This window comes from Homo sapiens, chromosome 6 (genome assembly GCF_000001405.40).
Source record: "Homo sapiens chromosome 6, GRCh38.p14 Primary Assembly".
Taxonomy (NCBI): Eukaryota; Metazoa; Chordata; class Mammalia; order Primates; family Hominidae; genus Homo; species Homo sapiens.
The window spans coordinates 63,956,964-63,984,127 of NC_000006.12; the positions used below are offsets into that span (position 1 = coordinate 63,956,964).

Genomic DNA, 27,164 nt, shown 5'->3' on the forward strand with positions numbered 1-27,164 from the left:
TTCATCACACATTACAGATGTTACTTTAGCATTTTCTGGAGTGTCCTTTTGCACAGATTGATAAATTTGCTCTTCCTTTTTCTGGATGTACTATATTGATGATCAATTAACACTGAACTCATAGCCAATAGCATTATAACTCATGCCCGGATGAAGCTTATGTAAGACAATATTTTTTTGAAAGACACATTACTGTCTTCTTGTACTTAGGAACACTAGATAACACTTCCACACTACATTTATGGGCTATTTTAAACAGTGAAATTACCAACAAAAAACAGAAAATGTAAAAAAATGTGGCTTCACTGAACAGACCTCAAAAAGGACACTTGTTTATGTGCAAGAGCTGGAACAACAAGGCAGAGTGCAACCTTGTTTGGCCTCAGCTCAGAGCTTGCTTCTCAAGTGACTTAAAATGTTGTCTCTGTGCATATCTGTGAATGACCTCAAATGATTGCCAAAATGCTACCAGTATTGATTTTGGGGTTACAAATACATTTTAGTAGGTAAATTTTTAAATAGGAATTCACAAATATTGTAGAGTAATTGTATTCTTCTATTAAATAATAAAAGCTCAATAACTGTTTGTTGACAGAATGAAGCTTGCCTGCTATGCTGAAAGCTATTTCTCGTATTCAGTGAATTAAATTCTTTATTCAAACTATAAATCTGAAAAATCATTTATGCTACAGCGCCTAAAAGTTAAAGAAAAATCCTGTTTGGATACCATGTATATTAGGTTCTAACTTACAATATTCTTAAGTACTTTCTCCACTCTAGAGTACTGCTCTCTCTGATGCCAAAATTCCTGAGCTATCAACAAAATAAATGTATGAAAGCTAGACTTGACACTCAAACATTTTATCAAAAAGTTCTGTTTTTAGTAAAGAAACAAGGTCAGTTGAAGGCCATCATATTGACAACATACATTTTCTGTAAAATCTGATTATGACAGACAAACAATTTAGTGCAACTTACTGAGAGGCATAAATTTGGGTTGATTTTTAATTAGCAAAGACTTTGAATTGACCCATATTTATCCTCTTTCTTGTTTCTCCTTAATTCAAGAACAAGAATTTTCAAGACGTTTATAGATAGATGTTTATATAATCTATGACCATGGTTAATAGTCAAGCTAATGTGCTAATGTGGGGAGTCAAATCTGTGGTCACAATCAACTAATATAATTCATTTTGAGTGAACAAATATTTATTGAGAGTGTTCCAGACCTATGTTAGGTGTTGGAAATAAATTATGAATGGAACAGCTATGGTTCCATACCAATTAAGCTATCAGTCTACCTGAACAGATATATACTCTACAAGTGACAAAAGAGAAAAAATAATATAAATACAGATTATGAAATAAACTATAGAGGAAGAAAATCTGGCAATGGAAGAGAATAATGGTCATAGTGGAGGAGGAAGGAGGCCTATGTTACACGAGGTTTGCTATGGTTTGAATGTTTGTGGCCCCCACAATGTTCATGTTGAAACTTAATCCTCTCTTCATAACATAAAAGTGCAAGGTGAAGCAGCAAGTGCTGATGTACAAGCTACAGCAAATTATTCAGAAGATCTAACTAAGATCATTGATGGAAGTGGCTACACTAAACAACAGAGTTTCAATGTAGCGAAAGCAGCCTTATATTGGAAGAAGATGCCTTCTAGGACTTTCATAGGTAGAGAAGAGAAGTCAATGCCTGTTTTCAAAACTTCAAAGGACAGGCTGACTCTCCTGTTAGAAAGTGATGCAGCTAATGACTTTAAGTTGAAGTCAGTGCTCACTTACCATTCCAAAAATTACTCTGCCTGTGCTCTACAAATGCAGCAAAAAAGCCTGGATTACAGGATCTCTACAGCATGGTTTATGGAATAAGTTAAGCCCACTATTGAGATCTACTGCTCAGAAAGAAGATTCCCTTTGAAATGTGTTCGCTGACAATGCACCTGGACACTCAAGAGTTCTGATAGATGAATACAAGGAGTCTAATGTTGTTTTCATGCTTGCTGATACATCTTCCATTCAGAAGCCTATGGGTCCAGGTGTATTTTGACTTTCAAGTCTTATTATGTAGAAACACTTTTTGTAGAAACAATCATCATAGTGAACAGGCATCGTATAGAATGGGAGAAAATTTCTGCAATCTGCTTATCTGACAAAGGTATAATATCCAGAATCTAAAAGGACCTTAAACAAATTTACAAGAATAAAACAACCCCATCAAAAAGTGGGCAAAGGATATGAACAGACAACTCTCAAAAGAAGACATCTACGCAGCCAACAAACATGAAAAAAAGTTCAACATCACTGATAATCAGAGAAATGCAAATTGAAACCATAATGAGATACCATTTCATGCCAGTCAGAATAGTGATTATTAAAAAGTCAAGAAACAATAGATGCTGGTGAGGCTGTGGAAAAATAGGAGTGCTTTTACACTGCTGGTGGGAATGTAAATTAGTTCAACCATTGGGGAAGACAGTGTGGCAATTCTTCAAGGATCCAGAACCAGAAATACCATTTGACCCAGCAATCCCATTATTGGGTACATACCCAAAGGAATACAAATTATTCTACTATAAAGACACATCTGCATGTATGTTTATTACAGCACTATTTACAGTAACAAAGACCTGGAACCAACCCAAATGTCCATCAGTGATATACTGGATAAAGGAAACGTGGTACATATACACCATGGAATACTATGCAGCCATTAAAAGGAATGTGATCATGTCCTTTGCAGGGACATGGATGAAGCTGGAAGCCATCATCCTCAGCAAAGTAACACAGGAACAGAGAACCAAACACCACATGTTCTCACTCATAACTGGGAGTTGAACAGTGAGAACACATGGACACAGAGGAACAACACACACCATGGCCTGTAGGGGAGTGGGGGGTAAGGGAAGGGAAAGCATTAGGACAAATAGCTAATGCATGTGGGGCTTAAAACCTAGATGACGAATTGATAGGTGCAGCAAACCACCATGGCACATGTATACCTATGTAACAAACCTGCATGTTCTCCACATGTATCCTGGAACCTAAAGTAAAATTAAAAAAAAAAAAAGGAATTACATTTTGTAAGGCTATAACTGCCATAGGTAGTGATTCCTTTGATGGATCTAGGAAAAGTTAATTGAAAACTGGAAAAGATTCACCATTCTAGATGCATTAAGAACATCCATGGTTCATGGGAAAAGGTCAAAATATCAACATTAAGAGGAGTTTGGAAGAAGTTGATTACAATCCATGTGGATGACTTTGAGGGTTCGGGACTTCAGTGGAACACATAATTGCAGATGTGGCTGAAAAAGCAAGAGAACTAGAATTAGAAATGGAGCCTGAAGATACGACTGAATTGCTATTATCTCATGATCAAACTTGAGTTTGAGGAGTTGCTTCTTATAAATGAGCAAAGAAATTGGTTTATTGAGATGGACTCTACCAGTGAAGATGCTATGAATATTGTTGAAATGATGACAAAGGATTTAGAGTATACATAAACCTGGTTGATAAAGCAGTGGCAGGATTTGAAACAAGTTCTGGGTTTCAATTAATGGGTTAAATGCTATTAAACAGCATTGGGTACTACAGAGAAATCTTTCATGACAAGAAGAGTCAATGTGACAAACTTTATTATTATCTTATTGCCACAGCCACTCTAACCTTCAGTGACCACTACTCTGGTTAGTCAGCAGTGATCAATATCAAGGACAGACTCTCTACCAGCAAAAGATTAGGACTTGCCGAAGGCTTAAATGGTCATTAGCATTTTTTAGTAATAAAGTATTTTTAAATTAAGGTATGTGCATTTTATTTTAGACATAATATTCTTGTGCACTTAATATACTATAGTTAAGTGTAAACATAACTTTTATTGCACTGAGAAACCAAAAATTTCATCTGCTCATTTTATTGTCATACTGGATTTATTGCAGTGGTCTGGAACCAAATCCACAATGTTTCCAAGGTATGTCTGTAAATAACCTCATCCAAATTCAACCACCTACCTACCTGTATGTGAATCTATTCTTAGTCATTGCCTTTTACTACATCTTAGATTATCTCTTAGTCTGCTCCTGCTGCTACAGCGAAATAACATAGATTGGGTAATTTATAAACAAAAGAAATTTATTGGTCAGAGTTCTAGAAGCTGCAAAGTCCAAGATCAAGGTGCCAGCAGATTGTCTGATTAGGGCTTACTTCAAAGATGGTGGAAGGTGTCAGGCCTCTGGGTCCAAGCTAAGCCATCATATCCCCTGTGACTTGCACGTATACATCTAGATGGCCTGAAGCAAGTGAAGAATCACAAAAGAAGTGAAAGTGGCCAGTTCCTGCCTTAACTGATGAAATTCCACCATCGTGATTTGTTTCTGCCCCCCTTTAACTGAGCGATTAACCTTGTGAAATTCCTTCTCCTGGCTCAGAAGCTCCCCCACTGAGCACCTTGTGACCCCCGCCCCTGCCTGCAAGAGAGAAACCCCCTTTGACTGTAATTTTCCACTACCCACCCAAATCCTATAAAACAGCCCCACCCTGTCTCCCTTGGCTGACTCTCTTTTCAGACTCAGCCCGCCTGCACCCACGTGAAATAAACAGCTTTATTGCTCTTTATTTATATTTATTTATATTTATTGCTCTATATTTATAAAAAAGCCTGTTTGGTGGTCTCTTCACATGGACACGTATGACAGAAGGGACAAACAGACCCCTCAAGTCTCTTTTATAGGGGAAGGACACTAATCCCATCCGTAATGGTGGAGCCCTTGTAACCTAGTCACCCCCTAAAGGTCCTACTTCTAAGTATTATCACATTGGGTATACATTCCAACATATAAATTTTGATGGTACACCAACATTCAGACTATAGACCAATCTTCAATGTTTCTTCAAGAATCTTCCTGTATATTCTCTTAATTTTCTTTTCCAAATTTACATTATAGACTTAGAAAAATGTAAGAAATGTTAATTTGATAATGCTGCATATCTACAACTATCTGATCTTTGACAAACCTGACAAAAACAAGAAATGGGGAAAGGATTCCCTATTTAATAAACGGTGTTGGGAAAACTGGCTAGCCATATGTAGAAATCTGAAACTGGATCCCTTCCTTACACCTTATACAAAAATTAACTCAAGATGGATTAAAGACTTAGATGTTAGACCAAAAACCATAAAAACCCTAGAAGAAAACCTAGGCAATACCACTCAGGACATAGGCATGGGCAAGGACTTCATGTCTAAAACACCAAAAGCAATGGCAACAAAAGCCAAAATTGACAAATGGGATCTAATTAAACTAAAGAGCTTCTGCACAGCAAAAGGAACTACCATCAGAGTGAACAGGCAACCTGCAGAACGGGAGAAAAATTTTGCGATCTACTCATCTGACAAAGGGCTAATATCCAGAATCTACAAAGAACTCAAACAAATTTACAAGAAAAAAACAAAGAACCCCATCAAAAAGTGGGCAAAGGATATGAACAGACACTTCTCAAAAGAAGAAATTTATGCAGCCAAAAAACACATGAAAAAATGCTCATCATCACTGGCCATCGGAGAAATGCAAATCAAAACCACAGTGAGATACCATCTCACACCAGTTGGAATGGTGATCATTAAAAAGTCAGGAAACAACAGGTGCGGAGAGGATGTGGAGAAAAAGGAACACTTGTACACTGTTGGTGGGACTGTAAACTAGTTCAACCATTGTGGAAGTCAGTGTGGTGATTCCTCAGGGATCTAGAACTAGAAATACCATTTGACCCAGCCATCGCATTACTGGGTATATACCCAAAGGATTATAAAACATGCTGCTATAAAGACACATGCGCACGTATGTTTATTGTGGCACTATTCACGATAGCAAAGACTTGGAACCAACCCAAATGCCCAACAACGATAGACTGGATTAAGAAAATGTGGCACATATACACCATGGAATACTTTGCAGCCATAAAAAAGAATGAGTTCATGTCCTTTGTAGGGACATGGATGAAGCTGGAAACCATCATTCTCAGCAAACTATTGCAAGTGCAAAAAACCAAACACCGCATGTTTTCACTCATAGGTGGGAATTGAACAATGAGAACACTTGGACACAGGAAGGGGAACATCACACACAGGGGCCTGTTGTGGGGTGGGGGGAAGGGGGAGGCGGGAGGGAGGAAGGATAGCATTAGGAGATATACCTAATGTTAAATGATGAGTTAATGGGTGCAGCACACCAACATGGCATATGTATATATATGTAACTAGCCTGCACATTGTGCACATGTACCCTAAAACTTAAAGTATAAAAAAAAAAGAAATGCTAATTTGAAAAAGCAATAAAACCCAATCATGTAACAAAGTCATATGAACTCTTTAACTTTATAAAAGAAAATTAAAAAAGGACTAAAAAAAGTGCATAAATACTGTATACAAGGAGAAAAGAAATATTCATTTAATTGCACATTGAGAAATGTGAGAAGTAGCTCTGAGATGCTTCAGACATGTGCCAAGAAAAGTTGGTGGTATGTGGCTTCAAGAAAGAATAACACGAAAATGGCATTGCTTTCTGCTCCTGGCGCAGCTTGCTCACAGGACCGAGAGGTGGCATTCCTGGGTCTGGGCGAGGGGACAGCTTATTGCAAATGTTGACTGGCACCAAGCTTGTCACAGACTATGGGTTTTCATTTTTTTTCACCCTCTCCTTAAAACTTAGACTGTAGTAACTGACAACTCATTGCCATTAGGAAGAAACTTTTATGAGAAGAAAATGACTTGAATATACCATTGGAGAATATTTTTTCAGTAGCTTTAATTTCATTTAAATCTCAAACTACAAGCAAAGTCTAATTACTGATGGTAGGAAAGTATTCATTTCTCACATTGAGCACCTATAAGATCTATGTTCTTTGACCTATGGGTCTTTAGTGTGAACTCCAGGTTCATTTTTCTTGCTAGTAGCAGGAATTTTCAAACACTTATCTTCCATCTGTAGGTGGCAGTAAGTTATTAATGTTTTTGTTACTCTGCCCAGTGGAAGGAAGATTAAATCTGGTTTAAGAGAAACAAAATATAAAGAGAATATTGTTCTACCTTTGGGCCAGTATAAAGAACAGTAACAGTTTTTTTTTCCAGTGGAAGTTTAATTCCTTCCCCCATTTTAATTTGAAGTAAAATTGAAATACTTATGTATTCTCAGTAGACTCTCCACTAGCTGGGATGAACTTATGTTCACATCAGAATAAACAAACCTAGAACAACAAGGAAGAGTATTGTATAAGTCAGCAGCTGAAGAAACCCACTGTTTCTTATGCTGTGCATCTTAGCAAGATTAGTTCAGATCTTAAAGCCTACTGTTATATTTATATTAAGCAATGGCATTTTGCTTTCAAGTATATGCATACAAAACATCAAATAATTATTCTTCCAATTCCACAATAAAAAAGATTTCTTCTGAAATCACTTGCTGATTTCCCTCCTGTGTTTAAAAGAAACAAAAAACAACCACAAACACAACAGGAAAAGGAACTGTTGATTTGCAATTTTTCTGCCTTGTCTTTTGCCTTGTGGTAGTTCATATGCAAAACATGCTTTCTTACAGATGGAATCCACTAGTCCTTGCCATTAAGGGAAACACAGCAGGACCCAGAGAGGATTTGCTGAAGCTGAAAACTGACTTTATAATTTAGCTCTGAGTCTTGAAGCAGCATAAGTCACAGTATAAATCAGAACACTGGATCCAAAAATGCAAGGCAAATAGAGCAAAACATGAATTTCTCCCCTCATACTTTCCTCTTGTTAGTACAATTAAAACAACAACCAGTTCCTTTATTGCTTATGATTTAACAGACAAGTAAAGTGACAATTTCAGGCTACAGTAGACAGAGCCATAGAAAAAGAAAAACAGCCAGTAAGATGAGGCAGTTACTGTCATATTATGCCAACAGATACTGCCAGGTTTCTAAAATAAAAACAATCTTCACCATGGTGAATACTTTGCACATTTGCTTAGTTTAGCTTCATGGACTCTTCCTATTGCAGTAAACCAGTTTATACTTATATCGTTCTTTGATTTCTCTTAAAAAATTTAACACAGGCTACAGAGATTAAGTTGGCTATTTCAAAAAATAACTTTGGGATATATGCTTAACATTTTACCTTTCCTGTGCTTACAGAATGCTTTTGGCTCAAAAGGGCCTTTCTATTTTTGTATTTATCCTTTATAGGGTAGAATTCTTACTTTGTGTAAGATCGATAATTCTTACTTTGTGTAAGATACTATCGATAAGCTTTGTTCCTCCACAAGAGCCATGAAGGCAGATATTCTGTCCTTTCTAATCTTTGTGCAGCTGGCAGAAGAAAAGGTCGTGTGATCCCACTGTGTCCCAACCTAAGATTTTCTGCCCCTGCTTTCTCACACTAATAGGTAACATTTATACACCATTGTAATTTTTATTTTTAATTGGTTTGTTTTCAATTTTAACAGAGGATTTCACCAGTGCAAAGTGCATTTCATTTTTGATGAGCAGGGAAAATATAACCCTTTGACAAGCACCCAGGTATCAAATTGTCCTTCTTTCTCTTGTAAGAGTCATCTGGTAATGTAACAGGTCTGCATGAAAATGTATAAAAACTTATTCATGAGTAAAGAGCTTTTTCTATTTCAATTCTAACTTGCGTAAATGATTTTCTGTGGAGCCAAAAAATGGTGGCTGTGTCAGCTGGGTTGATTTGCCTGATTTTCATAAAAACATAAACAGCACCATAGTTTGGCTTTTGGACCTTCCTTGGTATTTGTAAGATCTGGGGGAACGGCTCATTATAACCAGTAGTTAGAAAGTATGAGTAAGTAAGACCCAGAAAACACAGCCTGTAATAGTAAATATCACGAGTGCCAGTGAAAAGAATCATGGGCATTTTACCATCAAATTGTCGAAAGAATATGAACCGCAGAATTCAAACGGATATGGGCTAAAATCCCAGCTAAGCTACTTATGCCACCTGCTCTGTGAGCTTGAGCAAAGTGTTTAACCTCAGTTTCATTATTTTATAACATAGGGGTTGCAATGTCTATTTTTAAAATGTGCACTAATGAGATAATTAAAGAAGTTATCCTTCATGAAGCATTGCAAAGCACTTAAAAACTGGTAGATGCCCATCAATCAACGAGTGGCTAAAGAAACTGTAGTATGTATGTACACAATGGAATACTACTCAGCCATAAAAATAAATGAATGAACAACATTTGCAGCGACCTGGATGAGATTGGAGACTATTATTCTAAGTGAAGTAGCTCAGGAATAGAAAACAAAACATCATATGTTCTCATCGATAGGTAGGAACTAAGCTATGAGGATGCAAAGGCATAAGAATGATACAAAGGACTGTGAGGACTTGGGAAGAGTGGGAGGGGGTGAGGGATAAAAGACTACAAATATGGTGCAGTGTATACTGCTCAGGTGATGAGTGCACCAAAATCTCACAAATCATGGCTGAAGAGCTTACTCATGTGACCAAATACCACCTGTACCCTAATAACTTATGGAAAAAAAAACTGGTTGCTGCTCAAAGCAATAGCAACAGCATAAGAGCCGTTTCAGTAGAACATGCCATAGGAAGCAGTAAAGGGTGAAAGTATACAGCAGAGGCTAAGCTGACTGCCTGAAGTTTAATCCCTGCCCCTTTTACTATTGCTGTGATCTTGGGTGGATCGTTTAACCTCTCTGTACCTTAGCTTAGCTATTTATACAATGGAGATAACCATAGCTTGAACCACATAGCATTGTTACAAGGATTAACTGAGATAATACGTATAGAGTAATTAATACAGTGTAAGCAATCAATGATGTTAGCTATTTTTTTATTATTACCTTCCCCCTGCAAGGGGTTTATCTGGCAATAATACAGTGGTTTCCCCTTATCTGTGGGGGATACAATCCAGGACCCCCAGTGGATGCTTGAGACTGTAGACAGTACTAGGACTTTTATATATGTATATATATTTTCCTTTTGGTACATACTTATGATAAAGCTTAATTAATAAATTAGGTAAGCAGGAGATTAACAACAATAATTAGCAATAAAATAGAACAGTTGCAACAATATGCCAGCATCACTTTAGGTAAAATAAGTGTCACTTGAACACGAGTTCTTTGATAATGTGACAGTTGGTCTGATAACCAAGATGTCTACTGACTGGCGGATGGGTTGCATATACAGCATAGACATGCTACACTAAGGGATAATTCATGTCCCATGGAGCAGGACAGCAGAGACTTCATCATGTTATTCAGGAGTGTCCCCAATTTAAAACTTATTAATTGTTTATTTTTGGAATTTTTTAATTTAATATGTTTGGACTGCAGTTGACTGCCAGTAACTGAAACCCCAAAAGTGAAACTGTGGATAATTGTGGACTACTGTGTAGAAGTAGCCTGTGTGGTGTTAATGGACAATAGAATATATTTTTAAAACTGTGGTATAGCCACATATTAAGATGTTTCTGGAGGAGAGAGAAACAGTGACTTGACATTGGCAATGCTACCCAATGGTAAGAGGAATTTACTTCTCTCTGAATATTCTCATCAAAAGCATGGATGTGATCCTGACACAAGTGACGATAAGCAAGTTTGGAAAAATTTTTGGAGTTTTGATCAATTCACCATGTTTCATTTGGTTCTGAATCTCACTATTTAAATGAATTTGTGAATATTTTGGAAATGTAGAAATCCATAATTAATCCCCATAAGCAAAACAGAGGCTGCTTGTTGAAATCAGCCTTCACATTCTCTCTTTTTCAACATTCTGTGCAGATATAATAAAATGTCCTTGCATTTGTATGATGTTTTGCAATTGAAAGCATTCCCATACATGCAGTTCTATGTCAGCCTCTTACAGCCCTGGGGAGTAATCCTAGCTCGTATTGGTATCTCCTCCCTCAAAAACAAATTTTGAGAGGTGAAGTGATGTGCCTCAAATCGCATAGCTTTTAAGCAGCAGAGTAAGTTAAAAAAATCACTCAACAGTGTTTGATAAGGTTGGCTTTTGCAGCTTAGTTTTAGGTTATGTGAGATTGTACTGTCACAAGTACCACTAGAATTTCTGTCACATTATGAATTTTTTCTGCTTTCACTAATTATAATAAAGAAAGACCTTTGTAACATGCTTTTTATATTTGTCTTCTATATTTATATGTGCTCTTTGGGGCTATTTTAATTTGACATTTATCTGCTTTTTCTAGGAATATTCTGTGAAAAAGACTAAGATATCAGAGAAATTATTAGTGCACATTATTAGAAGAGAGCTTCAGATGAAAATAAAGGTTGGTAGCTTACATCATAATATTTTCAAGGGCAAATACAATTCTTTATTTTCGTAGTCTTGGTTATGGGCTTATATGTCTGCATCTGAGAGACAACAAAAGAATCACAGCTGGATTTGCAAGATGCATCTAATTGGGGGAAAATGCAGGGGTATGTGTGGAAACTTTCTTTTTTTCTTACTCCAAAAAGTGAACTCAAAAATAAAAGCACCTGTGGAATTGAGATTTGAGCAAGAAAAGCAGTGTGGGAAGATGGATAACCTTTGATGTCAAGTTGATTTCTCATACCTATGTGGTACAATTTCAGTTTGAATATTAGCTATGCGATCTGCAGTTCTCTGTTCTACAAGGCTCGAAAGGTGAAGGCAGAATATTTCAGAGGTTTCTCGAAACTCTAATAAAAGACTCTCCTGCCAGATGACCCTTGATAAACTTCACTCTTCCTCTCAGTAAAAATCTCCCCCAGACAGGCTCAAAAGGGTTGATGATGTTCACCACTATTAAGTCTCCACTCAGCCATGCTAGGCAGCTCAGAAATTTCATTGGAATTTTTCCTTACTTGGCAGTTTTAGATGTTTTAGTCAGTAATGCAAATCCAAAAGGAGAAGAACTTGGTAGGAATATGTGAAAAGTAGATCTATATTACACAAAGCGTACTTGTGGTTATATAGAAGTAATATGTAATTTTTAAATAATAGCATAATACATCAAAATTGAGCTTGTGGTGATGATGCACAATAATATATTCCACTTACAAATCTGTTTATATTGTTGTTTTTCTGAGTGTTTTCACAGTGATATATTTTTCAATATAGCATCAATATATTTTGTCACTTATATGTCATATTGTGGTATCCTCATCCCCCCCTTAAGCTTCTTGAGTATAAGGTTTGTGATTTATTATTTGCATTATTTTTATGCCTTGCAAAATGACTAGCATAGTAGGCTCTCTTTTGATGTGCTTGTAAAACTGACCTGAGTATGGATGTTTCTTTGTCTAAGGACAATTTCATAATATAAAATCAATACAGATGGTAACACCAGTAAAAATCTTAGAAACCAGATTTAAAGTATTCCTAACCCGGCTTTTATGAATTTGCATTTAAAAAAGAGCATGAGGAATTTTTGTTTATTTCCACTGTCTAAATTCTAAGCAGAGAGAATAGCCTAATGGATTTCTGTAGATTAGTTTAAAACTAACAAATAGGGAGTAAGTATTCTGTAAAATCCCTGTAATTATTATAGAATCCTTCAATAACCTCAAGCAGTACTATTAGGACTTATTTTGTTCTCTGAGTACATATCATTAGGATAAAAATAAACACATTTGAAGCTAAACAAAGATTTGAAGATCAACGATAAATTAACTTGATATATTTGCAGTGGCCAATCCATGTCTGTGGGGACTGGACACATCAATCAGTGCAACATTGAGAATCCCTGTTCTTCATCCCCCACAGGACCAGTCACATAATATATGGGGCCCAGTTCAAGATGACAATGAGGAGTCCCTAATTCAAAAAGCATTACAACAACTTTTGACTCTCTGTTGTAGTCTCTCTCTCTCTTGCAAGCTGTTACCACGTTTTTTATTTGCTGTTTAATGCCATTCATTTTCTCAGTCATGAGGACACTCATGGGGTGAGAGCAGAACTTCACAGGCAACTGAGACCCTGTCCTGAGTTGAGCACAAGTGGTGTATGTACCCAACCCTGACTCTCCCTATCTCCACACCCAGACCCCCGCTACGAGTGGAGATGGCCATGGGTTATTGGGTTGGAGAGAAAAAGCAGGTAGCTGAGAACTTTCCCTGGAGACATGGCGAGGTGGTGACAGTGGGACTAAATGTAATCTGTGACTCCAGGGCCCTGACACCTGCAGAATTGTTCTAACTTACTTCACTTACAAAAGCTAAAATTGAAGATATTATGTTAAGAATTTTCAGATGACCACTTCATAGCATTACACTCCTAGTGAAGGCCCTTGTGAGCAAGGCGTCCTGTGCTGCTGCACTGGCCCCATGTCCATGAAGCTGGCCATGGTTCCCAAGATAGAAGATCTGTGGGATGGGTCTGGCCCAGTGGCTCACGCCTGTAATCCCAGCACTTTGGGAGGCCGAGGTGGCCAGATCACTAGGTCAGGTGATCGAGACCATTCTGACTAACACAGTGAAACTCTGTCTCTACTAAAAATACAAAAAATTAGCTGGGCCTGGTGGCGGGTGCCTGTAGTCCCAGCTGCTTGGGAGGCTGAGGCAGGAGACTGGCATGAACCCGGGAGGTGGAGCTTGCTGTAAGTCGAGATCACACCGCTGCACTCCAGCCTGGGGGCCAGAGCAAGACTCCATCTCAAAAAAAAAAAAAAATCTGTGGGATGATGGAGCACACCTTGCTGACAGAGAAGTGATGTCCTTCTCCCTAGTGCTGAAGCAAGAGGGTTGACATTGTCTTTCTCCTTCTCCACTGTGACTGCTTTCTTACTTCAATGTGTACTTTGTCTTCATTTTAATCCACTTATTTTTATTTAAAAATGATGAGAGGAAGGAAACTGGAAGACAATTTTGATAAAGTATAATTTCATAATGGTAAAATCATGACTCCTGCAAATACAATATGAATGCATGTCAAGATTTTATTTAACTCAATGATTAATGAGGAAAATAGTAAGATGCCAACAGTAATTTAAAGAACGTTTGAGAAGCAATATTAAGATTGCTGGGTTGGATATAAAAATGGTTAATGTCCAACAGGACCATAAATTGTAACATTTAGGGTACTTTTTGTTCAAAACAAGTTATTCTCATTTCTACTGGACAAAAATCTACAGTTAACCTCCAACCTTACAAAGTTGTAAAGTAGAACAGGCAATAGATAGTCAAGCCCAGCAATGGAGAACTGCAGTGTGAGGACATCTAAGTAATCTCTTCTGTCTATTTCAACTTAAGGATGATTTACCTGTCAGTGTGATTTGCTCCATCCTAGCATTATCTGGGTTTTTATTTCATCTGACTAACATGTTAAAAGATTTTCCAGTAGCCTTCTATATGCATGGTAATAGATGTTTAATACATACAATGATAGAGTATAAAACAGGAAAATAATCCTCAATATATTTAATTCAGCATGCATCCTCTTAATACTTCAATTAGATTATATACTTCTAGATTATAGAAAATAGCACTGGAAGTAGTCTAAGATTCTTAAATATTTAGGATTAGACAGGTCTTGGTGATCTTCAGTTTTCTCCATGGGAGAAGAAAATGTCATTCTACAATCATGCATATAAATATTTGTGGCTCACATTTAGGTCTAGAACATTTTTGAGGCTTTAATTTGTGTTTCTAAGTGGATGGGTAGACTAGAGAAGGAAATAAAAAAGCCCAGAGAATTTGTGAGAGAGAAAAGGGGAAACAAATTAGTCAGGTGGCTATTCAGGCACAATCCCACCACATAGGTCTAACAGCCAGATGATGTCCTACCTCAAGACTGAACTCAAGTATTTTAGGCATGATTTTCTGCCAATTTTGTTGCATTTCAATTGTATTTGTCATAAGTTCTATTAATCTCAGACTGAAAAGACAAAATCACATATCTTAAAGCACATGGTAAGTTAGGTGAGATATGAAGAAAGGATTCTTGGTATTGAAACATACTAAACTCAAAGACTTTCCCAATTGTTGCTGTACAGTCTTCCACTATAGAAGTCTTCTAAAAGTAGAAACAAATTTCACTTGTTGGGCCTTGTTTATATCATTTGTTATAGAATTTCTTCACTCTATTTCTGAGAAAGAGAATGTTTTATGTGATGTTAATAGTTAATAGGTATTCCTGGAAAAATACTTTATTTTTCTCAATGAAATTAGTTTAGTTACTTCTAAGCAGAGTTGAATGGGTTCTTTTTTTAGAGGATTGCTTTTGAAACTCCAAGAGGGAGAAAGGAACATGTGACATTTTATGAATTTGTCTTAGAGAAATTTCTCCTTACCTGCCTCTTTTTCCCCAAGGAATGCTTATTACTATACTTGAAAAATAGCTTTGAAAATTCCAGTCTAGTTTAATTCCCCCTCTACACAAATGATGAAAGTGAGGTTCAGAAATGGTTAGTGGCATACTTAAGAGGAAGGGCAAAACACATACCTCTTGACTGTTAGAGTAATCTAAAATGATGAAGCTATAATTTTTATATGTAGCCTAGTCCTTATGTGTAAGTCCCACTGCTAAAAATAGTTACTAAATCATTCAGTTTAGAGAACTAATCTTTTTTTTTATTATTATACTTTAAGTTCCTGGATACATGTGCAGAACGTGCAGGTTTGTTACATAGGTATACATGTGCCATGGTGGTTTGCTGCACCCATCAACCCATCATCTACGTCATGTATTTCTCTTAATGCTATCCCTCCCTTAGCCCCCAACCCCCTGACAGGCCCCGGTGTGTGCTGTTCCTCTCCCTGTGTTCATGTGTTCTCATTATTTAACTCCCACTTACGAGTGAGAACATGTGGTCTTTGGTTTTCTGTTCTGTGTTAGTTTAGAGAATGATGGTTTCCAGCTTCATCCATGTCCCTGCAAAGGACATGAACTCATCCTTTTTTATGGGTACACAGTATTCCATGGTGTATATGTGCCACATTTTCTTTATCCAGTCTATCATTGATGGGCATTTGGGTTGGTTCCAAGTCTTTCCTATTGTGAATAGTGCTGCAATAAACATACATGTGCATGTGTCTTTATAGTAGCATGATTTATAATCATGCTACTATTTATAATCCTTTGGGTATATACCCAGTAATAGGATTGCTGGGTCAAATGGTATTTCTCATTCTAGATTCTTGAGGAATCGCCACACTGTCTTCCATAATGGTTGAAGTAATTTACACTTCCACCAACAGTGTAAAAGCATTCCTATTTCTCCACATCCTCTCCAGTATCTGTTGTTTCCTGACTTTTTAATGATCAGCATTCTAACTGGCATGAGATGGTATCTCATTGTGGTTTTGAGTTGCATTTCTCCAATGACCTGTTATGATGAGCTTTTTTTCATATGTTTGTTGGTCACATAAATGTCTTCTTTTTGCCCAGAATCTACAAGGAACTTAAACAAATTTACAAGAAGAGAACTAAACTTTATTATTTGTGATGAAACAAATGCTTGATTTACATTTCAGATCCTAGGAGAGAGAGCATTGAATTAAAGTCTAAAAAATTAGAATTTATCCTGTCTTTATTATTAGTGCCGATTTGAACCAATATCTTAATTCATTTATACTCCATTTTATCATTTTTGAAACAAAAATTTAAAACTATATTATAAAGATATTTTAAGTAGTAACATCATTTTAAGATAAATTCGTATGAGAACAATGCAACTATGCATATCCCAGCACAGACAACACTTGGTAATTATTAGGTCAATGGCAGTTAGTGGTGGTAGTATCTGGACGGTACTTGCTTAAAGCCATGACTGCATTTTACTGTCAGTAACCAATACCCAGATTTATTGTCCAGTGTTTTCTCATGTAGTTTATATACTCTCAAGTCTTTACCAAGTGTTAAGTTTTGGCTTCAAATCACTCAAGGTTTAGGTAGGCAGGTGGGAACAATTTTTACTTTATTTTTCTAGAATAAAAGGTTAAGCAGTTTTCTTAAGGTACAATATCTACCAGCAAATGGGCCAGGAAAAAAATGTAAGGCTTGTGAACTTTGTTTACTACTCAACCAAAAGGATTGGTTTGTTTTCTTTCTAAATTAATCACTTAAACTTGTTTTTTAAGAATATTGTAAACCCAAAGCCAAAGGATTCTGAATATCTCACATTTTGTTCCACATTTAACTTTGCTCTGTTTTCATTTTGTTTGTCAAGCTTTTCACACAATTTTAACAGTGGCATGTTTAATTATATGTAAAAATCATAGTGGTTAACACAATTTACCATTTTTACGCATTTTTTTGGTGCATGAATTCAATCTATAAGTGGTCAAAAATAAATGCTTCTATTTACAAAATAAACAGGCTTTAACACATCTTTTCCTACTAAAAAAAACCATTAATAAATAGTTTTTGAAGGAAAGCAAAACAGTCAAAAAAACATATTACCAGGTCATATTTAGAGTGCTTGTTCTTTGAAGAAAAGAGTGAGGGAGAGATACTATTAGCATTCTGTTAAGAAAGGAGAGAAAAGATAGTTTTCAGATGGGATTTAAGCCAGAGAAGTCTCTTATGCCCAGGAAGATCAATCAGGGTAAATGAGTTCTCCATGTATTATTACCTAAGGGTAGAGAAAATTGAAGATGAGATTTTCTTCCCCCTACTTGTTTGACCTTGCTGCATAAATATGATATAAAAAATATGAGTGGAATTTGATAGTGGTCTTTTCCATTGGTCAAACCTTGAAATTTTAACTCTTTGAGGCTTTTCAAATTCGGTGTAAGGAACACAATTTCTTCACATTTAATCTTATTTGTTCTTATTAAAATACAATTGTATTTGTAATCATGACTTTAATACAACACTTATTTGCCGAAGATCTATCAATAAATGCTTTCTGCCCTGTGAAAACAAATGCCCAGCACTTGTTGCTACACTCAAGGATGGCAGTAATAAAAGTGGTTAGAAAATCAATTTAAACTGCATTTGTACTTTACCATAGAGCTGGTGACACTTAAACATTGGTAAGAGTTACGCTCTTCAAATATGTGATCCACTTTTATAAGCAACTAAAAACCCTACAGCTTCAGTCACACTCTCAAAGAAAGAATAAATGACCTCACATCACTCCATTTTCAGAAGACCTGGCACTTGTAGAATGGGGGAAAGAAATGAGACAAAAAAAAAAAAGATAAACAATAGAAATTGTGAAACCTAGGCTGTTTTAACCTAAGCTTGCAGTTTATGTGTATAAATGGAAAAACACAATTTGTTCTGCATGCCTTAATGTTTTACAAACTTGAGATTATCATACACAAAATAATATGTGGAAAAGGTTTCCATGTCTTATTTGTCTTTATGAATCCCACGATCATTACACTGCTTAACACAAAAGAGGCTCTACAGCACTCATAGTATAAAAGAAGGGACAGATTGATGGTATGAAGGACACATATCCTATTTTAATCAGACAGATTTAGATCAAAATAATTTCTAAACATGGATGTTCTAGAAAAAAAGAAAAACAGAAAACAATTACCAGAATGTTTTGTTGTGATGCGTTACTTTTTGTTTAAGTAACAGTGACCTAAAACAGGCCTGTTTCTCCTTTTCTTCTTTTCTAATAGCATGTGTATATTTGCATAAGTACTTTTTTGCTTATCACAACCTTTTCTTGTTAAACATTAAGGACAGCAGAGGGTTACAGTGAAGCAGCTGGAACTCCTATCTTCTGGTAATGCAAAAAGTGTCTGGTGTTCAGAAAAGATTCAAAACTTAGTAATAATACAAAAGGAGAGTTGTGTGTTCTTTTAATATCATACCAGAGCATTGTCTAATGGGCTTGCTTAAGGATTATGTAATTCTCTAGAAGGTGAACTTTTATTTGGCTTACTATTTACAGTTATATGTCACTCAGTAACACTTCTGAGAAATGCCTCATTAGGCAATTTCATCATTGTGCAAGCATCATAGAATGTACTTATACAAACCCAGATGGCATAGCTTACTATCCACCTAGGCGATACAGTATGGTCTATTGCTCCTGAGCTATAATACAGATCTGTACAGCATGTAGTACCAAAGCATGTTCTGAATACTGTAGGCAATTGTAACACAGTGGTATTTGTGTATCTAAACATATAAAAGATGTATAAAAATACAGTATAAAAGACAAGAAAAATGGTACACCTATATAGGGTACTTATGAAAGGAGCTTACAGGACTGCAGGTTGCCCTGGGTGAATCAGTGAGTGAGTGGTGACCAAATGTAAAGGGCTAAAATACTACCGTATATTACCGTAGACTTTATAAATACCATGCACTTAGTCTATACTAAATTTACAAAAACAAAAGTAATTGTGCTATGATGTTACAATAGCCACAACATCACCAGAAAACAGGAACTTTTCAACTCCATTACAATCCTGTGAGACCACCATCATCTGTTTTGTCTGTTGTTGACTGAAACATTGTTATGAAGTGCATTAGCACTATTAATACTGTTAATTAGACCAGGACTCTGTGAAGTTACATGCTCACTTGTAGGCTGTGGTTTGATGGAGGCGCAAATGAATACAGACTGGTAGAAAACATCACAAAATTACATTTTATTGCCCTATGGAACATTAACTAGTTTTGTCTCTAAACCTTGCAATTTTATTTTAGCATCCTTTCAGTGTCTATAAAAGCTCAGTCTCTTGAATTCTTTTTGAACCAACTTTACCTTCATGCTGGTTGCTTTGTATAGGAGCTAAATGAATCTTTGGTATGTGGTTTATACAATTGTATAAAAATCATGTTTATAACTTTTTGAAAATTAAACTTTGACACTGGGTTTGAATTATCTTGCCAGAATCCTGTCTTAGAGAATTGTAGAGGGGAGTTTAGATTTTGTGGGGCCTGAAGCTCATATAATTTTGTGATCTTTTATAACCAAAAAAATTTTACAGATTCAAATGAAAAATTATACATAAAAGTGATTATTTATTTAGAATAGGAAAATAAATAACAGCAAATTACATTAATATTTGGAGATTCAGGTCTCTTTCTCTGAACTCTCTTTTTAATTGTACTACAGTTTTTGTTTTTTTTCAGGAGACCAGAGTTTTATTATTACTCAAGTTAGCCTCCTATTGTACTATAGTTTTAAAAATGGATACACAATAATTGTGTAAAGGGCTAAATATTATTATATATTACTGTACATATGCAGTAATCTATATATAATACAAATTATGTATAATAAAAATTTTACATATTTATGGGGTACATGTGATATTTTGATACAGGCATACAATGTGTGATTATCAAATTAGCATAATTGGAATAGCCATCACTTCAAACGTTTATAATTTCTTTGTGTCAAGAACATTCCAAATCTTATCTTTTAGCTGTTTTGAAACATGCAATAAATTATTGATAACTAATAATTTATCAATAACTAATATATTTACCCATTGTGCTATCAAACACTAGAGCTTACATGGAGATGCTTCCTGATCGCAACTTGTTTTCCCTTCCCAAAGGAAATTGTGAGAAATTATTGCAATTCCTAGCAACTCCCAATCCCAGAAAGACATGTACAAGGTTGAGGGCCTCTTAAGCTTCATTAGCTTCGAGGTAAGCCAGCTCTGCTATTGGGTGAGGGGATGTCAGCAGGTAAGGAGCTGTGAAGGACTGGGTGGAAAGAAACAAACCAGAGAATATTTTCCCCCTCAGGCAACCATGGAGTGGCCCTTGGAGCAAGGCTTTGTGAGGACTCCTGCATGTATCTGACAAGAGATCCAGGACCGAGTTTGTGTGTCAGGGAGTACAAAATCAATACAGAACCATAATGGCACCAGCTCATAAGAAAACCTTTCGATATTTTTCAGTCAAATCCCTCCTGTCCCAAGCCAGACCCAAACCTGGAGAAACTAGAAAAAGAAGAGGGATAGAAAGAAATCAAGAATGCATTACATTCCTTCCCCACTCTAAATTCTTGAACTTGAGGTTTGTCCAACCTGGCATAGGGCTGATGACCACTAAATTGGATATGAGACAGAAGTTTTTAATTGGTGTAGTCTGAACCAGATGATTTAATATGTGAACATACATAGAAGGCTCTGGAACCTGCAGGATATTCCAGTAAGGGAAAATAAAGTGGAGACCAACAGAGTATGTACACCATCAATGACAGAAGAAAACATTCTTTTGATACTCACACCCTAGAGACTGATTTTAGTGAATGAATTATGTAGAAAATACCTTAAATACTCAATTAATTAACATAATAAGAAAGATAGGAAAAACTATGAAATCATTTATGCTTCTAAGTTCTTACCGAAAACCTGGTTAGCTTTCCCCGCCACCTGTTTCTCTAGCAACAAGGGCTGCCCACAGTGGGAGATGTTTGGAGGTTCACTGGTAAACTTTTATATTGAGAATAATCTAACTAAATATAAAATAGTCTTCTAGTGCAAGGGACACTTAAATCCTATGTACAATTTCAAGGATGTAGACTACAGACAGAAAGTGTAGCAGTTAAGAAGAAGGGTTAAATATTTGAAAATGTCATTAGTCTAAATGTGTGGTAAGAAATTGATCTGAAATAGGCTCTTTTTTCCTGTGGTATTTAGAAGAATAGGGTAGACTGCTGAGCTAGATTTGGGGTAATCTGGGTTAGATACAGAGTAAAAACTAAAAGATCTCAGCAGGTGATTCCTAGCGACATGACATTGTGAAATGACAATGAAGACAAGCAAAAATTGTGTGAGGGATTGCAACTTACTACAGAACAAATGGAAAAGCTAAGACCTGATATCCTGTCTTTATGCTGTGTAACAGTTCTTACTATTGCAATTTCAAATTCAATTTATGCCTCCTACCTCATTTTGAAGTGCTAAATGAGTTGGAAACTGAAAACCTCAGTAATCACAAAAAAACTGCCTTCTTTCTACAAATGTTAAAAAAAGTCTATAAAATGAGATAATAGGGAAAGATGGATTGAAAGTAAAGAATAAAGGAAAGAAACTCACCTCTGTTCACATGGGGTACTGAGAATAATGATAATTTCTGAATGCTAAACAAATACATACCCTGTTTGAAGCTTGCTTAATATGGAAAAATTATTAATATGAATTGGGGTTGATTTTCTTAGTCTAGCTCAATTAGTTGAATAACACTAATTTACCCATTTGTTGCCCTAGTGCAGTGGTCTGCAAATGATAGCCCTTTTGCCAAATCCTGCCAGCCACCTATTTTGGTAAATAAAGTTTTATTGGAACACAACACAGTCATATCCATTTGTTTACATTTTGTCAGTGGCTGCATTCCTGCTACAATAGGAGAGTTAAGTTATTGCAATACAAAGGCTGATATTTGCTATCTGGCCCATTACAGAAAATGTTTGCTAGCCTCTGCCTTGGAACATGGAGGATAGCACTGGTTAATGATGAATAAAAGCTATGAGAACAGCTAGAAGCATAGAAAGCAGATTCATTGAGATGTGAAAATTATTGACTTTCACTGCATGATAAAATACATTTATATGTGCTTAGCTCCTGGTAAAATTAAGAATAAATTTGAAATTAGTGTCTCAATAATTATTTACTGTAATGTCAGTGATGTAAGTTTCTAGTGTCATGGTTGTATAGGGTATATTCCCAAACCTGATGCTCCTTTTAATTACTGTTTAACTTATTTAAAAACATATGGCTCAGAAAGGGGAAAGTGATGTAAATATTATCTGTTTAATTTACTAACCTTTCTATGCCCTTTTGGAAACAGCTTGTTTTAAGTCCGTAGAGATTTGGATACTCAGAATAAGCCTTCTGTATCACTTTCTAAACTGAATTTCACTACATGCAATTTGGACTTCTCTGAAATGAACAACCACAGGGGTTTGAAAATTCTAGTACAGATTTATAACAAAATGAAAAAAGATTGGACACTGTCCAGAAACGTGTGATGGTACTCAAAGCAGAATGACATTTGCTCAGTAAAGCTGCTGAAGTGTTACTTTCCTTAATACTTTTCAACATGAAATTTGTCTTCTTGTAAGCAGATTACATTCATAGACAGTGTAGGAACAGCACTTTACAGCAGTAAATTAGATCAACCAAGGTACAAAAATTAGTGATGATTTTGCTTACAAATATCCATTGTAACAGTATTTCATTTTGTGAACCCTAAGGTCTAACTCTGTGGCACTGAAACTCTGTTCATTCACTACCCCACTCTTGTGTAGAGAGCCAATTTCTTTAGGGGTTATCTCATACTATAACACTATTATTCTTCACTTATTGGGGAAAATAGGCATGCATTTTCAGGAGGTACAGATTAGAATGCTCAAGAGTGTGTGTGTGTGTGTGTTGAAAAATCTCTCTTTCTTAAGGTTCTCATATACTCCATTAGGAAGCATTCCCCAACCTTTCAATTAGAGTCCTGGCCTAGAACAATTAAACTGTGATGAGAAATTGTTATTTGCATTTCAAAGTAAAACTTTATGCATACATGCTACAGTATTAAATCATCAGTATCTGTGTATTTTGAGAGAAGCAAGCAGAGAGGTAAAAGGGCTTTCTTCCTGTCTCTGTAATAATCACTCTTTTATTCTGAACATAAACAGTCTATTACTTTGAAAATAAAGTAATATAACTTGTAAGCCTATAAGGAATTTCATCAGGCCATCTTGTCCATCCTCCCTGAATCCAGAAAGGCTGAATATTAACACATCTTATTGAAATTGATCTGCTATTTTGAAAGCTGTCTTGCATCCAATTTCTTCTTTTGAGAAAATAGGAGGAAAGAGAGGGGAAGTTTAGAACTCTGCCTAGATGGGCTCAGGAGTGAGATCAGGTCAGATGGCATGGACTGAGGGAAAAAAACAGAGCCAAAGGATGAGAAGGACTGGAAGAGAGTAGAAGATTTTGGAGAAATCCACTTTATGATATGGCAGCAGAAAGAAAGAGAACCTTTGGCTTCGGCTAACAACATAGATAGGAAGTGGGTTACCAAAATCATGAAGTCAGTTCAGATCCATTTTGTCAGAATCAGAATGAGGCTCACTCAGTAGCACAGGGTTTCTCTAAATTTCTTTGTTGGAAGACTCTACACTGCTCCGTGTATGCCAAGTGTGAATATGCATCTGTTGAGGGAGAGAGTTGGTTATGGTGATGGCCCTCTGTGTCCTACCTCTTTGACCCATGTTCTTCTTAATGAGCTGAAACTGCTTATGGTCTCATTGGGAGTCTATGTTCTCCTTCAGTACATTTTCTGGTTCTCCTTTTTGGATTACTGCACAAACTGCTGGAGTGCTAGCTGTAGGGTTGGGTATTGGTGGGAAGAGCAAAAGACAGCATTCTTATTCTGATAATCTCCTCCGTGGTCCTATAGCTCTCTGTTTTCTTGTATTAAACTTCTGATATACTACAGGCATCTCTTCTTAGGATCCTTTCAAGAATTAAAAAAAAATTGTTGTTCTGGAACTGGCCAACTCCACTGTATTGCATGTTGAAGTACACAAAGGGATTGCAGGAATATAAGTCATAGCTGCCATGGAGCAGCATGTCCTGTATGCAACGGTGTAAGTAGTAGTTTACAGGAGCTGAGCACCGGCAATCAAAATAGAAAGCATGTTGTTCATAAGATGTGAAGAAGTGTTATACTTAATGATACACAACTGGTACATCTCCATGTGGCTAGCAGTATAAAGGGACATACAGATCTGGAAGTCTTTAAACAGTGCATGCCAAATCAGTTGACCTTCCAGTAGATTTCTCTGGAGTTGTGGTTGAGAGGTTGAGAGATTTAGAAATGAGGATGGAAGGTGAGATAATGTACGTGATGAAGACTGACTGATACATTTTTTTGTGGGAAAATTTACCTTAAGTCCTGAAGAGCTGATAGAGCTTCCACGCTAGAATAAAAACTCTTTGTGTGTCTTGAATATACATCTTTGATTTACAATTACCTTGGCTCTTAGTTGGCTCTCAGACAATGTTTGTTGGAATAAGTCTAAGAGAATCAATATATAAAGTATAAATAAATCTAGGACTGCTTATATATACATCCTGTTAGGAAGATTATCTTTATTGTTATTTTCAAATACATATTAAATAACTGAGATTGGAATTAATGTGATGTTCTTTAATTCATGCAGATAAGAGGTTTACTTTATTTAACACATACTTGGCTTACTAAATATCAGAAAGTTAATGTCCTAAAATAAACCTTATCCTTACCTATTTCTCTGAGTTGGTAATGTTAGACACTTTTCCAGGAAATGAGAGTGTGTTAGTTTTCTATTCCTGAATAACAATATTAACACCAACTTAGCACCTTAAAAGAACATACTAACAGTTAACTCACAGTTTCCATGAGCCAAGTTTGGGCATGGATTCACTGGATTTTCTGCATAAGAATCTCACATTGCAGTAAAGGTATGGGATAGGTTGGGGGTCTCATCTCAAGGCTTGACTGGGGAAAGGGCCCATTTTCAAGCTCATGTGGTTGTTGGTAAAATTCAATTCTTTGCAGTTGTAAGAATGAGGGATTCAATATTTGCTGGTTGTCAGCCAGGGGACACCCTCAACTCTGCTTCTTGTTGGCTGGAGGCTGCCTCAGTGTCTTTTCATGTGGGTCTTCCCCAAACTGCTGTTTGCTTCCTCAAAGGCAGCAAAAGAGATAATCTCTTTGTAATATACAGCTTACACTTCTATGTAGTCTAATCCTGGAAGTGATGTCTCATCACCTTAGTTTATCAGATAGTCTGTTGGTTAAAAGCAAGTCACAGGTTTCACCCACAGTCAGGGAGGGAGGATCACAGAAAGGCATGAACAATAACAGGAGGGGGATTGCAGGGCCATAGTAGGGTATGTTCACCACATATAGGGAGGGAGAAAACACAATTCTTGTAACTTCTGTAATTTCATCAGTAATAAAGCCTCATGGAAAATATTTACTTAGGTTGAATAACACAAATATTTCAGACATTAACACAGTCAGTTAGAGAAGGTTTTTTCCCGTTTCTATTTCACTTAATTTGACAGAATTGCACGTTCTTCTATGGGGTTTGAAAGTTGCCTTGCTAAATTATTTTTGCATTATTAGATTTTGAAAAACAATTGGTATTAGTGGGTGATTATAAAGCAAAATACTTATTGAGTAAAGCCTTGAGGAAAGTGATGATAGTCAAGGAGATAACGTTCACTCTTAGCCCCCAGATTTACTCTCATTTAGTTCTTTAAATCTGTATCCATTGTACTTATGTTGAATAGGTCTATGTTGCTGTTATTGTACCAATGTATAAATGTGTATAAATTCACTATGTAAGTCAGATACTTACACAGTGAATCAGAAGCCAAATTTCTAGACACTCTAAGAAACTCTGCCTGACTTTTCCACTAACCATGCCTTTTTTATTTTTTTCAAATTTATTACTGTCATTCTGTGATTGGTAAATATATCACATTGACTTTATCATATCTGCCCAGTCCTCTGTTTCTTGTCTTTGTGATTGGTTCTTTCTCTCTTTTTTTATTTTCTATTCTAGTGATCACTATCAGAGCTTGTTTCTGTCTACCATTTTTAAATCCTGCTTTTTTGATAAAATTTCTCTCTTTTCTACACTGTGTATAGAGATGTTTATTTTTATGGAGTAATTATTGACTGCTTGATAGCTTTCCCCATGAAAATACTGAGGTTAATTAATTAAAATATTTCCTGTGCAATTTGGTCAATTTTTCCTTGACTTGAATTATTGTAAGTTGTATCTGTTTCAGCTTCCATTCTGTCATTATTTGTAGCTCCAAAATAAAGAATTCTCAGATGACTGAAGAAAATTGGGAATATGTTTTACACTGTTCAAATGAGACTCCCTCAGGGTTGATTCAGTTAAGACATTTAAGTGGAGCAGAAAGTAATTTTAATTAAAATCTTCTTAAGTTTATAAGCATGATAAATCTGCTTCAAGAAGAAAAAAGGATATAGGATTGCAAATAAAAAGAGAAAACAGATATAGGTAATTTTGTTTTTACCTCTAACCTTAGCAATCTAAGCAGATTCTTTTTTGGCAGATGAGTAAAAAACAAATATAAAAATTAATAAATATAAAAAATTAATAAATATATCAAAACCATCACCAATGAATAATAGCCTCTCATTCATATTTACAAGAAGCTGGAACACCTAGATAAAGACGTGGATTCATTTGAAA

At 36.0% G+C, this 27,164-nt stretch overlaps 1 protein-coding gene and 1 long non-coding RNA gene across 6 annotated transcripts in view; one reads left to right on the plus strand and one right to left on the minus strand.

Moving 5' to 3' along the window:
- The window catches only part of EYS (eyes shut homolog), a 1,987,247-nt gene that overhangs the window by 236,984 nt on the left and 1,723,099 nt on the right, over positions 1-27,164 (minus strand). The gene's annotated exons all lie outside the window — the stretch shown is intronic.
- LOC107986608 (uncharacterized) overlaps positions 1-27,164 on the plus strand; it is a 94,049-nt gene that overhangs the window by 6,459 nt on the left and 60,426 nt on the right. For 2 of the 4 annotated variants that reach the window (XR_001744188.1, XR_001744191.1), the window contains exons 1-2: positions 8,035-8,559; positions 11,241-11,321. This is a non-coding gene — a long non-coding RNA (uncharacterized LOC107986608). Of the gene's footprint in view, positions 1-8,034; positions 8,560-11,240; positions 11,322-27,164 lie in introns of those variants that run through there. The other 2 variants (XR_001744190.1, XR_007059629.1) reach the window with 2 other exon arrangements.